Here is a 15,475-nt window from a genome sequence, read left to right on the forward strand (position 1 = left end):
CTGACTTCTCCGTTTCCTCTGCTCTATCCTGGCAGCTGATGCCACTGCTGAAGCTGCGGCACGCCCACATCTCTGTGTACCAGGAGCTGTTCATCACGTGGAATGGGGAGGTGGGTCAGAGCTGACACCTACGGGCTCAGCCGCCACGCAGTGGGCTGCAGGACCAAGCAGACTGAGCCCAGAGCACGCCCACCCCCCACTGTCAGAATAGCTCGTGTGGCAATGGCAGTGACTGTAAACGTGGCCACCCCTGACCTAACACTCACTGGGGCCAGGTACCATGCTGGGGGCTTTCGGTGCATAGTCTCATAGGAGCCCCAAAAACCTCATCGTCAGGAGAGTTTTTTTTTTTTTTGGACAAAGTCTCGCTCTTGTCCCCCAGGCTGGAGTGTAATGGTGTGATCTTGGCTCACTGCAACCTCTGCCTCCCGGGTTCAAGAGATTTTCTTGCCTCAGCCTCCCGAGTAGCCAGGATTACAGGCGCGTGCCATGATGCCCGGCTAATTTTTGTATTTTTAGTAGAGACGGGGTTTCACCATGTTGGCTGGGCTGGTGTTGAACTCCTGACCTTAAGTGATCCGCCCGCCTCGGCCTCCCAAAGTGCTGGGATTAGAGGCGTGAGCCACCACGCCTGACCAGGAGGGGTTCTTAACCCATTTGACAGAAGAAGAAACAGAGGCTAACAGAAACAAGTTGCTCCAGGTTACCCAGCTAGTACGTGGCCAAGCCAGAGGGCCAGGCCAGATGGGCCTGACTCCCGGGCTCTGCACGCAGCCAACGAGCTTGTCCTGGTGAGCCTGTGCCTCTGATGACAGAGTTTTTACTTTCATGGAAGGAGCTAGTTGACCTCCGTCTCCACAGCCACCCGACACCGGTGCCGTCCTGGGCCTGTGCGCCCCTTACTCCTGCAGCCCCTGTGCAGCTTACTGACCAGCACCACATCCGTCATCACGTGCCAGGAGGGCTGCAGGGCAGGAAGTACTGTCCCTGTGCTCCTGATGGGGCCTAGGGCTCCGGTTCAGGAGCTCTCCAAGGCCACACAGCTAGTAAACAGCTGACTGGGGACGGAGACTCAGGTCCAGCAGCCGGGTCCTGTAGGCTGGATGACTTCTTGTCTTTACAAGGAGCCAGGAGCTTTCCAGTCACTTCTGATGGGACTGAGGCAGACAGCGGGAGGCTGAGCAGGCACAAGGGGTGCTGGAGGTAAAGAGAGGCTGAGAAGCCTTCTGCCAGGCGCCAGCCTGCATGAGATGTCCACACTGGTGTTCCCACCTGGGGCCAACAATCCCGGGTCCGAGCAGGAAAGGCCCCTCACACGCTCCCTCTGCTCCAGCGGGTCTTGGGGAGGGGACCTCACTGCATGCACTCCCAAAGATTTTCTGAGCACCCCCTAATGCTCTCAAGGAGGGTGCAGAGAAGCCAAGAGGACATTTCCCTATGGGAGGGAGCACAGAATTGGGGGCCCTGACCTGGTCTGCTGGGGCTCTGGCCAGGGCAGGGTCCTCAGAGGAAATGGGTCTGAGCTGAGCCCTAAAGGGTGCATAGTTATCCCTATGAAGGGGGTGGGTAGTGGTCCAAGCAGAGGGGTCCATGTGTGCAGTGGCCAGGGGACAAGTGCAGCTTTTGGGAAAGTCCAAGTAGCTTGGTGTGGATGGAGTGTGGAGTGGAGGTGGAGCCTGGGAATGGGGAGAGGAGAGAGAGGAAGCTGAAGGTGGGGCAGGAGGGGCTTGTAGCCCCCTCCAGTGGGCAGTGCTCCCACGGCCACTGCAAATGGCAGCTGAGCGCAGGGAGGCCCTGGAGCAGGTGAGCCTGCAGAAGCACCGGGGCCTGGGCGTCCTTTGGCTAAGGGCCTCCTGTCCCAGCAGATCTCTTCTCTGTACCTCTGCCTGGTGATGGAGTTCAATGAGCTCAGCTTCCAGGAGGTCATTGAGGATAAGAGGAAGGCAAAGAAAATCATTGACTCTGAGGTGAGGTCCTTTGGGGCACCAGGCCTGGGGGCCACCTAGACCTGTGACACAGGCCCTGCGGTGCAGGGCAAAGTAACAGCGGGAGGGCAGGCACCATGGAGTCCAGCCTTGTTTTTTTCTTAAATGTGTGCCTCGAGGCATTGCACTCTAGGTAATGTGTGCAGATCTTAAGTGCACAGTTTGATGCACTCACACAACTTCCACCCAGATCAAGACAGAAGGCGTTCCTAACACTAGAAGGTTCCCAGTCGGTGACCATGATTCCAGATTGTTCTGCCGGTCCCTGAAGTTCCTGTAAATGGACTCGTCCGGCATGCTGCCACTCCTGTCTGGTCTCCTTCCCTCAGCCTGCTGTTGTGAGCCCCGCGGTGCTGCTGCATGCACCAGCAAATCATGTGTTCATTGCTTGCTGCCACTCTGCTGCCTGATTGCGCTGCAGGCTGTTTACCTAGTCTCATTTGGGCTGCTTCCAGTTTGGGGCTATTGTGAATAAGGCTGCTATGAGCATTGCTGGAAGACACTCACTTTTCTGGGATGAATACCTAGGAGTGGAATTATTGGGTCGTAGAGTACATGTGTGTAGCTTCAGTGGATGCTCCAAACAGATTTCCGACTTGGTTTGGTTGGCCCCATGTTTACTCTCACAAGTTGTGAGCATTCCCGATCCACATGGAGGCCAGCACTTCATTGTGTCAGTCTTGTTGTTGTTGTTGTTGTTGAGATGGAGTCTCACTCTGTCGCCCAGGCTGGAGTGCAGTGGCACGACCTTGGCTCACTGCAACCTTCGCCTCCCTGTTCAAGCGATTCTCCTGCCTCAGCCTCCCAAGTAGCTGGGACTACAGGTGCCCACCACCACACCCACTAATTTTTGTATTATTAATAGAGACAAGGTTTTGCTATGTTGCCCAGGCTGGTCTCGAACTCCTGACCTCAAGTGATCCACCCGCCTCGGCCTCCCAGAGTGCTGGGATTACAGATGTGAGCCGCCGCGCCTAGCCAGTTCACTTTCTTAATGATGTCTTTTGATGATGGAAAGTCCTAACTGTAATGGAGTTCGCTTTCCCAATGCTGACTCTTATGGTTAGTGCCTTTGGAGTTTAAGAAGCATTTCCTGCTCCAAGATCATGAAGATACTCTCCTCTGTCTTATGGAAGCTTGGTTATTTTTGCCTTCACATTTAGATCTTTCATCTACCCCAGATGAATGCTACCTGCTTTTACCCTGAGAACTGTGTTTGGGGGGACCATGTACCCCTGAGGGGCTCTTCGGGGCACACAGCTCTTCTCTTACCATGGGCCTCAGAGGCAGGCCCGGAGTGAGTTTCAGACTTTGTGAGTGAAGCCCTTCAAAACACGAAATATTCCCAGAAACCCAGTAAGTGCAGCAGACCTACTCTAACTGGGGGCAGTGGGAGGACGCCCACATCCTGCCCCCTCAGCCCCTCTCTGACACCCCAGGGTGGCCCTGAATCCAGGGGCCCTAGGAGCCCAGCTTTAGAATCACCGCGCTGGGTACTCGATGGAGCTTGTCTCTGATGCAGAACACTCCTAGCATTCTCTCTCAGGGCTCTTTTCATTTGAATGACCTAGAGGATTGAGCTCATGTAGGCACTGAAGGCTTCCACCTCTCCCATACCCGCAAGGCCGATCTGCCTTCAGCTCCCAGCAAGTGTGGGGCAGCGCGGGCCACAGAGTAGGGTGCAGGGATGGGGCCCCTGCAGCACCCAGGGTCTCTGGTATGGAGACAGCAGTGTGGAGTCTGGAAACTCAGAGTCCTTCTGGCTGCCGCCGCGGCTTTACCATCTGGAGAGCCACCACGCTGAAGCCTCCTCCACCCTGAGCGCTTGGCTGGCTTCAGGCCTGTCTCAAGATGCAAGGAGAGGATACACCACCATCCTGCTGGCTGCTCTGAGTGTCACCCCCCTGAAAGCAGCACAGGGTGCCCCTCCCATCCTGGCACCCCCTACTTCTCCCCCAGTGGATGCAGAATGTGCTGGGCCAGGTGCTGGACGCGCTGGAATACCTGCACCATTTGGACATCATCCACAGGTAAGTGGGGCCCCTGACCTCTGCGGACTGGCTGGCTGCTTCGGGAGAAAAGGCACTGAGGCCACTCGGGTGCCAGTGCCCGTGGGCAGGATCTGGGGAGAAAGGTGCACCGGGCCAGTGCAGCCAGGATAGGATGGGACCTTACAGAGCTCCTCCCGGGCTTGAAAGAGGCTCTTCCAAGTGGTCTCAAGCCATGTGCACACGCACAGCTGCATGGGGTGTGCGCTAGCCAGGCGGGCTGCTCTAGAGTTCGTGGAAAGGAAGGAGGCAAAAGCCCTGCCAAGAAGAGAGACCGGGTTGCCTGCCGTGGGGCCAGTGTGGGCTGAGTGGGCCCTGCTGAGCCTTTGACCCCCAGCGGCACAACTTTCAGGCTGGAGAATCCATGGTCTGAAGGGGCTGGGAGATGGCTCCAATTCTGAACACCAATATCTTATTTAAAGAGGAAGAGGGAAACTATGCAGCTGGGCGTGGTGGTGCACGCCTGTGGTCCTAGCAACATGGAGGCTGAGATGGGAGGATTGCTTGAAGCCAGGAGCTTGAGGCTGCAGTGAGCTATGATCGTGCCACTGCACTTCAGCCTGGGCAACCCTGACTTAAAACACACACACACACACACACACACACACACACACACACACACACACACACACACACACCACGCAGACCATACGTACAAAGGGAATGCTCACATTCCACATCCAGTGTTCATGTCACTAGACGTCGCACAATGGCCAAAAATCAATCCCCAGGCAAACGTGTAGCTGAGATATCTAAGGAGGTGAATGTGTCAATTAAGGGGCCTCTTCGGAGTGCTGGGTGTGTTCCTACTTGTGGTTGAGGATTTTTCCCCCGATTTAAAATAATTGAGTATATTTCTGTACATAGGAAACAACTGCTTAAAAAGTAGGCTGAGATGGGGCATTTTGTGGAGGAGAGGAGGATGTGGGCTGCTGCTGCAGAACCAGGTGGGGCAGGGAGCAGAGAGTCAGGCTCAGCACACACACTGGTCCCACCTGGGGTTGTGGGTGGTGGCTGCCCAGGTGGCCCCTTGGCATCCAGAGGCAAACCCACCTCTTGGTTTCAGGAATCTCAAACCCTCCAACATCATCCTCATCAGCAGTGACCACTGCAAACTGCAGGACCTGAGTTCCAATGTGCTAATGACAGACAAAGCCAAATGGAATATTCGTGCGGAGGAAGGTGGCAGGGGCTCCCCCAGGTTGTGGGAGAGGGGGTTGGCGCCTAGAATCCAGGCGGCGTTGGCCACTCTGGGTGCTGGAGTGAGGCAACATCAAACAGCTGTTTGCTCAGAAGGTCCCCACAAAGCCCTGGCCTTGTGTAAACTCCAAAGAGACCTCCTTTGGGTTGCAACTGAGCAGGCGTGCCACCACCAGGGCAGAGGCAGGGCCCCACAGACACCCAACATTTGAGAGAAACAAAGTCGTGGTTGTTTGTGGTACCCCAGAAAATGTTGCCTCTCATGGAGGGAAAAGAAAGTGTCAGAAGGAAGGATATGAAAATGCCCAGGACGGAGGGAGGTGGGGGGGGTCAGCCCCCCGCCCGGCCAGCCGCCCCGTCCGGGAGGGAGGTGGGGGGCTCAGCCCCCCCGCCCAGACAGCCGCCCTGTCCGGGAGGGAGGTGGGGGGGTCAGCCCCCCGCCCGGCCAGCCGCCCCGTCAGGGAGGGAGGTGAGGGGCGCCTCTGCCCGGCCGCCCCTACTGGGAAGTGAGGAGCCCCTCTGCCCGGCCGCCACCCCGTCTGGGAGGTGTGCCCAGCAGCTCATTGAGAACGGGCCATGATGGCAATGGCGGTTTTGTGGAATAGAAAAGGGGGAAAGGTGGGGAAAAGATTGAGAAATCGGATGGTTGCTGTGTCTGTGTAGAAAGAAGTAGACATGGGAGACTTTTCATTTTGTTCTGTACTAAGAAAAATTCTTCTGCCTTGGGATCCTGTTGATCTATGACCTTACCCCCAACCCTGTGCTCTCTGAAACATGTGCTGTGTCCACTCAGGGTTAAATGGATTAGGGCGGTGCAAGATGTGCTTTGTTTAACAGATGCTTGAAGGCAGCATGCTCGTTAAGAGTCATCACCACTCCCTAATCTCAAGTACCCAGGGACACAAACACTCTGCCTAGGAAAACCAGAGACCTTTGTTCACTTGTTTATCTGCTGACCTTCCCTCTACTATTGTCCTATGACCCTGCCAAATCCCCCTCTGCGAGAAACACCCAAGAATGATCAATTAAAAAAAAAAAAAAGAAAGAAAATGCCCAGGACGGAGGGTCTGTGGGTGCCAGGCACTGGCTGCGTGTACATCACTGAGTCCTACAACAACCCAGGAGATGAAGGGGTGGGTGGCAAGGGGAGACGAGTTCTCGTTCCTTTGAAAAGATGGCCAGAGAAAGGGGGCTGGAGAGATCAACCACAGAGGAGGAGTCCAGAGTCCCAGGATGGCAGTTGCTGGTTGCACTCTGTCCTTTTTTTTTTTTTTTTTTTTGAGGCGGAGTCTCGCTCTGTCGCCCAGGCTGGAATGCAGTAGCGCAATCTCGGCTCACTGCAAGCTCCGCCTACCGGGTTCACGCCATTCTCCTGCCTCAGCCTCCCGAGTAGCTGGGACTACAGGCGCCTGCCACTGGGCCCAGCTAATTTTTTGTATTTTTTTTAGTAGAGACCGGGTTTCACCATGGTCTCGATCTCCTGACCTCATGATCTGCCCACCTTGGCCTCCCAAAGTGCTGGGATTACAGGCGTGAACCACCGCACCCGGCCACACTCAGTCCTTGGTAGACAGAAGATGAATGAGTAGATGGGTGGGTGTGTGGTTTGGTGGGTGGTAGGATGGATAGGTGGGTGGGTAAGTGGATGGATGATGGGTGGGTGAGTGGATGGATGGATAGGTGGGTGGATAGATGGATGAATAGGTGGGTGGGTGGGTGAGTGGATGGATGGATGGATGAGTGGATGGATGAATGGATGGATGGATGAGTGGATGGATGGATGGATGGGTGGATGGATGGATGGATGGATGGATGGATGGATGGATAGGTGGGTGGGTGAGTGGATGGGTGGGTGGGTGAGTGGATGGGTGAGTAGGTGAGTGGATGAGTGGATGGATGGATGAGTGGATGGATGGATGGATGGATGGATGGATAGGAGGGTGGGTGAGTGGATGGGTGGGTGGGCAGGTGGGTGGGTGAGTGGATGGATGGATGGATGAGTGGATGGATGGATGGATAGGAGGGTGGGTGAGTGGATGGGTGGGTGGGCAGGTGGGTGGGTTAGTGGATTGGATGGATGGATAGGTGGGTGGGTGGGTGGGTCAGTGGATGGATGGATGGATGGATAGATGGGTGGATGAGTGGATGGGTGGGTAGGTGAGTAGATGGATGGATGGGTGGATGGGTGTGTGGTTGCATGGGTGGGTGTATGGGCAGATGGGTGAGTGCATGGGTTGTAGATGGATGGGTGGGTGGGTAGATGGGTGGGTGGGTGCATGTGTGGATGGATGTGTGGGTGGGTGGGCATATGGATGGGTGGGTGGATGAATGAGTGAATGAGTGGGTAGGTGGGTGAGTGGATGGATTGGATGAGTGCATGGATGGATGGATGGATGGATGGATGGATGGATGGTTGGACGGATGGATGAATGGGAGGGTAGGTAAGTGGATGGGTGGGCGGGTGGATGGATAGGTGGGTGGGTCAGTGGATGGATAGATGGGTGGGTGAGTGGATGGATAGGTGGGTGGGTGGGTGGGTCAGTGGATATATGGATGGATAGATGGGTAGGTGAGTAGATGGATGGATGGGTGTGTGGTTAGAGGGATGGGTGTGTGGGTGGATGGGTGAGTGCATGGGTTGTGGATGGATGGTTGGGTGGGTAGATGGATGGGTGGGTGGGTGCATGTGGATGGATGTGTGGGTGGGTAGGTGTATGGATGAATGGATGGATGGGTGAGTGTGTGGGTAGATGGGTGGGTATGTGGATGGATGGGTGGGTGAGTGAGTGAATGGGTGAGTGAGTGAATGAGTGTGTAGGTGGGTGAGTGGATGGGTGGGTGGGTGGATGGATGGATGGATGGGGTGTGCGTGGATGGATGGGTGGACAGACGGGCAGATGGTTGGTTCTATTGGAGGTGTAGATGGCATGCGTCCTTGGAGTCCAGCCCTTTACTGTTGGGCTGGGGAATGGAGGTCCAGAGAAGGAGGGGCTGCCTGAAGCCAACCAGGGACTGATGGACTCAGAGGAGTCTGCTCTTTTGCCTCCCTGTCTGGGGTTCCAGTTGAGAAAGTAGGGCAGAGCAACTGTAACTTTGCCCCCAAGGTCCTGACATTTAGAAGGGGCAAGAAGTTTAGAGGGGTGCACAGTTTCTTGGCACGTGCCTCTTCCAACTCCTTCTACAGCCATCCAGGGCACACAGACACACCACCTATATGGGCCAGCCTGGTGGGCACCCACCAAGATGGACAGCTTCAGTGGCTCCAGATCAACACAAAGCTCCCGCTGATTGGGGCCTCTTCCTCCCCACAGTTAATATTCTCCACCTCTTCTGAGAAGAGGACCTGCAGGGCTTGTGTTTCAAGCTGCTTGCGGGGGGCCACCAAAGGGGATACAGTGCTGGGCAGGGTGACTCTGTCAAGCCCCTGCCCCCAGGGAGCAAAGGACTCAGGGATCCCACCTTGCTTTTACCAACAGACCCCTTTCGTAAGTCCTGGATGGCCCCTGAAGCCCTCAACTTCTCCTTCAGCCAGAAATCAGACATCTGGTCCCTGGGCTGCATCATTCTGGACATGACCAGCTGCTCCTTCATGGATGTGAGCCGCCCTCCCTCCCCCACACCCCACATGCTGTTCCCCACGCGCCCAGGCCTGGGGAAAAGGCTTGGCCTCACCCTGCCTCCCCTCTGCATCCCTTCCCCTGGCTCTCTGCAGGCTGCACAGAGCCCTCTTCTCCACCTGCGAGGGGCCTGCCCTCCTCAGAACCCCTCAGCTTGCAGCACCTGCTGGGCTCTAGCAGGATAATGACAGCAGTGGTAATATTCAGACCATCCCACGCGACCCTCGCAGCAGCCCTCCAGGTGGTGTCACTGACTCTTGATGGAGAAAAGCCAAGTTCAGGTGCCCTTGTGAGCATGAAGGCTGCACGGAGTTGCAAGCAACGGGAACCCAGTGTGGGCCTGAACACACCTGGCTGTCTCATGCACAAGCCCCAGGCTGGTGTGGAGGTGCCTTCTCTCCTCCTGCACATCCTTAGCATGCAGCTCTTTCTCTCATCCCTGCTGGGGCCCCTGCACCATGGCCACAGCCTGTGGGCAGGAAGGAGGGGAGGCAGAGGGCCCCACTGGCCCCGCGAGCACTCCAAGGTCACTCTGGCTGCAGGGAGGCAGGGAAGTCCAGCCTGTCGCTTCCTATCCTCTATATGCAGAAGAGAAAAGTGGGGAAGGCCTGCCATGCCCAAAACAAGGAAGCTCCCCTTCTCCGCAGCACCACCTGCAGGCACCGAGGTCCCCAGAAAGGACAGACACCTGGCTGGACCCAGGTTCCCCATGGTCTCCCAGACCCCCAGACTCCACCTCTGAGAAGCACCTTGCCACTCCCTTCCTTTGAAAGACTCCCAGGGAAATGAGAGCCTTCCCACTTCGGAGGCTGTGTGACATCCTGGAAATTAGCCTGAGCTCCAGCCCCAGCCCAGGCAGTGTGACCCTGGGCATGCTCACACTCTGTGAAATGGGCATGCTGTCTTACTGGCTGGGTCTAGATCAGGGGGCTTTCTTGGCAGGACTCCACCCCGGGAGACAACCCGCTGGCTTCTCTGAAACTCCATTTCTTCTTATGGAAGAGCTTGGGGCCCCTGGGGTCTCTGGGCATTCTTGTAGACGGTGGCCACACCTGGCTCTCCCTGGTCTCCTCCTGGATTTCTTGGTCCCTGGTCGTCCCCTGCCCATGCTGGGACCTAGTTTTCATTTACTTAAGGGAATACACAGAGCTGTCCTCTCTCCGTGCAGGGCACAGAAGCCATGCATCTGCGGAAGTCCCTCCGCCAGAGCCCAGGCAGCCTGAAGGCCGTCCTGAAGACAATGGAGGAGAAGCAGATCCCGGATGTGGAAACCTTCAGGAATCTTCTGCCCTTGATGCTCCAGATCGACCCCTCGGATCGAATAACGATAAAGTGAGCTCAGGGTCGGGGTTTATTTTAACCTGTGGATTTATCTTTCAACATCTCTCCACCCTAATACAAGCACAGCTAGTTGGCTTTGTAACGCCTCAAAGAACTCCATCACAGATGCCCTGATTATCCCTGCACAGCTGGGCTTTGCCCAGTTCTGGCTCTCCCAAACCGTGCTGCGGCGAGTAATCCCGAATGTACGGTGGAGTGAGCAGACTGACCCCCAGGAGGCACAGGAGGCGTAGCCCCCAGGACCCACGACACTTTTAGGGTTCCAGAAAAAAGTTTTCATTCTACATAAAAAAAAAAATTCCTAAAGACAATGGTCACCTTTAAATTTTTCATTCTAACTTACTTTAAAATCAGAAGACAAAAGTAAATACATAACACTGGCCGGGGCGGTGGCTCATGCCTATAATCCCAGCACTTTGGGGGGCTGAGGCGGGTAGATCACTTGAGCTCAGGAGTTCTAGTCTAGCCTGGGTAACATGGCGAAACCCCTGTCTCTACGAAAAATACAAAAAATTAGCTGGGTGTAGTGGTGCATGCCTGTGTTCCCAGCTACTGGGGAGGCTGAGGCAGGAGGATCGCTCGAGCCCGGGAGGCAGAGGTTGTTGCAGTGAGCTGAGATCTCGCCACTGCACTTCAGCCTGGGTGACAGAGTGAGACCCTGTCTCAAAAACAAAACAAAAACATATAACAAAGAATCCAGGCCGGACACGGTGGTTCACACCTGTAATCCCAGCAGTTTGGGAGGCTGAGGTGGGTGGATCACTTGAAGTCAGGTGTTCGAGACCAGCCTGGCCAACAGAGCGAAACCCCGTCTCTACTAAAAATAGAAAAAAAATTAGCTGGGCATGGTGGGGTGCGCCTGTAGTCCCAGCTACTCAGGAGGCTGAGACAGAAGAAATGCTGGAACCCGGGAGGTGGAGGTTGCAGTGAGCCGAGATTGTGCCACTGCACTCCAGCCTAGGTGACAAGAGTGAAACTCCATCTAAAAAAAAACCCAAACAAAACAAAACAAAAAACCCAACATATAGCAAGGAATCCAGCCTGGGTCATATTCATCTTTATACCAACGCAGTTGTAAAATCTGGGTTTTCATGTTTCTATGGAGGCAGGGGACAAGAGCAAAAGTGCCAGGGCCCCGGACTGTCCCCCAGCTCTGTGAGCTGAGGCCCTGCCTCCATGGAGTACGTCCCTGGGTGTGGAATTGCTGGGGTGCTTGCCGGACACACTGGGGACACTATGAGAGACCCTGCCAAATGAATCCCAAAACAGGGAGTTCAGTGTCCAGTGTCCGCACCAATGGGCAGCCCGGAGCCAGAGGCAGAGGGAGAGCCCCACGGGGAGGTGGCAGGGGGCGCTGCTGGGTTACTCAGCCCTCTCTGCTCCTCTGCTAGGGACGTGGTGCACATCACCTTCTTGAGAGGCTCCTTCAAGTCCTCGTGCGTCTCTCTGACCCTGCACCGGCAGATGGTGCCTGCGTCCATCACCGACATGCTGTTAGAAGGCAACGTGGCCAGCATTTTAGGTGATGCTGGGGACACAAAGGGGGAGCGTGCCCTGAAGCTCCTGTCCATGGCCTTGGCATCCTATTGTTTAGTTCCAGAGGGTTCATTATTTATGCCCCTGGCCTTGCTCCACATGCACGACCAGTGGGTAGGAACAGTTTCCCTCCATCCATCCCTACACACTGCCCAGGACACCGCTCTGCTCAAATATCCTCCATAGCTCCCAACTACCTATAACACAAAGTTCCTCTCCATAGCCTGGCCCCCACCTGTTTTCCCTCCGCTCCTGCTACACAAATCCTCTATGTAGCTCAATGGCCTAGTCACTGCCCACGCCTCCCACAACCCTCTGCTTTTGCTTCCACAGCCTGGGTGGCACACAGTGGTCCCAGGACATCTTCCTCACACAGCACCACTTCCTTCCTGCGTGCTTCTATGTGCCCAGGATGAGCAGAAGTGCGCTCCATCATCTGTGTGCTCCAAGACAGAGACTTGGGTTCTATTAAGGAAAAGTTGCTTGGTCTCAGTGGCCTCATCTGTAAAGTGGGGATGGTAACAGCCCCTCCCTCTCATCCTGAACCTGTGGATCTGAGGAGGGGATGCACACACAGCAGCCAGCCCAGTGTGGTGCCGAGAAACAGAGCCCCGAGGCCCTGGTCCTCAGAAAGGTCCCTCCCCTGCCTTCCTGTCCCTGCAGAGGTCATGCAGAAATTCTCTGGCTGGCCCGAAGTCCAGCTCAGGGCCATGAAGAGGCTTCTGAAAATGCCTGCAGATCAGCTAGGTAGGCCCCACCCTGCACCCCTTTCCCAGCTGCTCCCCTAGGGGCAGAAGCTATGGTCCGGCCTGTGGGGAGCTGAGGCTGGCCCTCACCCCGGGCTCTCCTCGCCAGTGCTTTATTGCAGCGTGGAGGCGTGCATGTGTCCCCAGAAGAGTCCCGTGTCTCTGCTATCTGCCTGGGGAAGACAGCAGAGAAGGGGAATGGGTGGTGTGGCAGCCCTCACATGATTTTAATGGAGCCACAGACATCCCATCTTCCCCACTGTCCCTATGAGGGGTATCTGAGTTGTTTCTCAGTTTCCACTATTATGAATGATACTAGAACGGACACCCTGGTGTGTATGTATCTGTGCACTTGTTTCCGTAGCACAGATTCCTAGATGTTCAAGAGTGTGAATACTTTAACTTTTCACAGATACAACTTGCCCACCTATTAAGAATGCATGGCCTGGCGCAGTAGCTCACGCCTGTAATCCTAGCACCTTGAGAAGCCAAGGCGGGAGGACTGCTTGAGCCCAGGGATTTGAGACCAGCCTGGGCAACAAAGGGAGAGCCCATTTCTACAAAAAATAAAAAAATTAGCCAGGTGTGGTGACACATGTCTGTTATCCTAGCTACTCAGGAGGCTGAGGCAGGAGGATTGCTTGAGCCCAGGGAATTGAGGCTATAGTGAGCTACGCTTGCACCACCGCACTCCAGCCTAGAAGACCCTGTCTCAGAAAACAAAACCAAACCCAAAAAGATTGTTACTGCTCATTCATGGAGAGTGTTGGGAAAAGCAGTTTTTTTTTGTTTTTGTTTGTTTGTTTGTTTGTTTTTGAGACAGGGTCTCGCTCTGTCCCCCAGGCTGGAGTGCAGTGGTGCGATCTTGGCTCACTGCAACCTCCGCCTCCTGGGTTCAAGTGATTCTCCTGCTTCAGCCTCCCAAGTAGCTGGGACTACAGGTGTGTGCCACCACACCCAGCTAATTTTTCGTATTTTTATTAGAGAGGGGGTTTCACCATGTTGGCCAGGCTGGTCTCAAACGCCTGATCTCAAGTGATCTGCCTGTCTTGGCTTTCCAAAGTGTTGGGATTACAGGCGTGAGACACCGTGCTCGGCCAATTTTTAAAACATTTGTGCCAAAACATGCTTTCATAAAATCTTTCCATTCAACCTTTTTCACCTGCCTGAACATTACCTTCACATATCCATCCATCCACCCATCCACCCATCCATCCGTCTGTCTATCCATCAGACCTGGATTAGGAATCCACTGAGGTTTGTTGCAGTGGCTCGGGCCTCAGAGGTGACAAGGCCCAGCCCTGGCCTTTGAGTAGGTAGCAGAGGCCTCATATGGGCCTAATTTACCATTCCCTCCCTCCCCTCCTCCTCTTCGACCCCTTTTGTAGCTCAGCTGTGACCAGGACAGAGTCCCTGGGAAGAGAGACTTTGCCTCCCTGGGGAAACTAGGGAAGCTGTTGGGCCCCATCCCAAAGGGTAGGTCTTTCCCACCACCCGGAGCCACACCTCCCTCCACGCCTTGCTTAGAAATGGGCTTGCAGCCCAGCGCAGTGGCTCATGCCTGTAATCCCAGCACTTTGGGAGGGGCTGAGGTGGGCAGATCACTTGAGATCAGGAGTTCAAGACCAGCCTGGCCAGACATGGTGAAACCCTGTCTCTACTAAAAATACAAAAATTAGCCAGACGTGGTGGCGCATGCCTGTAATCTCAGCTACGCAGGAGGCTGAGGCAGGAGAATCGCTTGAACCCAGGAGGCGGAGGTTGCAGTGAGCTGAGATGATGCCACTGCACAACGGCCTAGGCGACAGAGTGAGACTCTGTTTCAAAAAAAAAAAAAAAAGAGGGGGGGGTCTTGCTTCGCTCCACACTCCAGGTGCCAGGACTTCATCCTTGTTGCTCTCATGAGCCTAGAGTGGAGGGATGGCTGCCTGGCCACTGCCCCTCACCCAGTCCCCAGCCCACAACAGTTTCTGGCACAGTGGCAGGGTGGATGGAGCCCACCCACCCATGTCCACCCTCAGGGCAGTTGCAGCCAAGGGCTCTGGAATAGACTGGCTAGGTTCAAACTGCTGAAGAGCAGGTGCTTTCATCCTGCTGACCCCAGGTTCCTCATCTGCATATGGAGGGCAGCCTTGGGAGGGGCCACTTCACAGGGCTGTGGGCAGCACAGAGCAGGACACCCGTGGCAGACATGGCATGCACTCCATGGACCTAGCGCTAATCCTCATTGTCCTTCCCCCTTCTATTCACCCACCTAGGGCCCTGCAGGCTCCTACCAGCCTCTGGGGGCCCTGGTCGGGTCTATATGCCCCCGATCTGGCCCAAAATGAGTCTCCCCTGTGCCGCCCGCCCTGCCAGGTCTGCCGTGGCCCCCGGAGCTGGTGGAGGTGGTGGTCACGACCATGGAGCTACATGACAGGGTCCTCGATGTCCAGCTGTGTGCCTGCTCCCTGCTGCTGCACCTCCTGGGCCAAGGTGGGTGCCAAACCAGGCCAGATGGGGTCGGGGAGGCTGTGCGCTGCTTCCTGCAGCTGTGCCTCCTGGGCCAAGGTGGGCACCGGGCCGGGTGGGTTAGGGGAAGCCATGCCCTGCTCCCTGCTGCTGCACCTTCTAGGCCATCTTCTAGGCCAAGGTGGATGCCAGGGCCAGGCCAGGAGACACTCCTGGTGGCCTAGCTCTGCCCCCACCACCTGGTTGGCATCTAACCACTGGAGAGTCCATGCCATCCTGTGCCCATCAGACCCCATCCTGGATGGCAGAGAGGGCACAGGCCAGGAGCTTGGAGACGCGGATCCCACCCAGGCCTGCCTTTTGCCTGCTCCGTGGCCCTGGACAAGTTCCTGATGATCCTGCCAGTTTTCCCAGCTATGAAGCGAGGAGCTGGACACGAGGTCCTCTGGAGTGACCCTCAGGGAGGATGGGTTGTGTCCTCTGAAGAGGGCTGGTAGGAGGGCAGTGCTGAGTTCATTTCACTGTCCTGATGGAAGAGGTTGGAGCTGAGA

General features: G+C 55.8%; 1 protein-coding gene across 2 annotated transcripts in view, besides 2 other annotated features; it reads left to right on the forward strand.

Moving 5' to 3' along the window:
* STKLD1 (serine/threonine kinase like domain containing 1) overlaps positions 1-15,475 on the forward strand; it is a 29,731-nt gene that overhangs the window by 9,216 nt on the left and 5,040 nt on the right. Inside the window, exons 4-12 of one of the 2 annotated variants that reach the window (NM_153710.5) lie at positions 36-110; positions 1,866-1,967; positions 3,945-4,015; positions 5,100-5,215; positions 8,710-8,828; positions 10,019-10,182; positions 11,583-11,713; positions 12,391-12,474; positions 14,832-14,948. In NM_153710.5, the coding sequence (NP_714921.4) occupies positions 36-110; positions 1,866-1,967; positions 3,945-4,015; positions 5,100-5,215; positions 8,710-8,828; positions 10,019-10,182; positions 11,583-11,713; positions 12,391-12,474; positions 14,832-14,948 (979 nt within the window). Of the gene's footprint in view, positions 1-35; positions 111-1,865; positions 1,968-2,175; positions 2,262-2,850; positions 4,016-5,099; positions 5,216-8,709; positions 8,829-10,018; positions 10,183-11,582; positions 11,714-12,390; positions 12,475-14,831; positions 14,949-15,475 lie in introns of both variants that reach the window. The other variant, NR_103997.2, reaches the window with a different exon arrangement.
* Positions 5,688-6,325: an enhancer, noted in NCBI's record as "NANOG-H3K27ac hESC enhancer chr9:136257045-136257682 (GRCh37/hg19 assembly coordinates)". NCBI's record gives its function as "activates a minimal SCP1, AML or CMV promoter by ChIP-STARR-seq in naive H9 embryonic stem cells {active_cell/tissue: H9 hESC(naive)}" and the evidence as "EXISTENCE:reporter gene assay evidence [ECO:0000049][PMID:30033119]".
* Positions 14,789-15,426: an enhancer, noted in NCBI's record as "H3K4me1 hESC enhancer chr9:136265498-136266135 (GRCh37/hg19 assembly coordinates)". NCBI's record gives its function as "activates a minimal SCP1, AML or CMV promoter by ChIP-STARR-seq in naive H9 embryonic stem cells {active_cell/tissue: H9 hESC(naive)}" and the evidence as "EXISTENCE:reporter gene assay evidence [ECO:0000049][PMID:30033119]".

Source organism: Homo sapiens, chromosome 9, assembly GCF_000001405.40.
Source record: "Homo sapiens chromosome 9, GRCh38.p14 Primary Assembly".
Taxonomy (NCBI): Eukaryota; Metazoa; Chordata; class Mammalia; order Primates; family Hominidae; genus Homo; species Homo sapiens.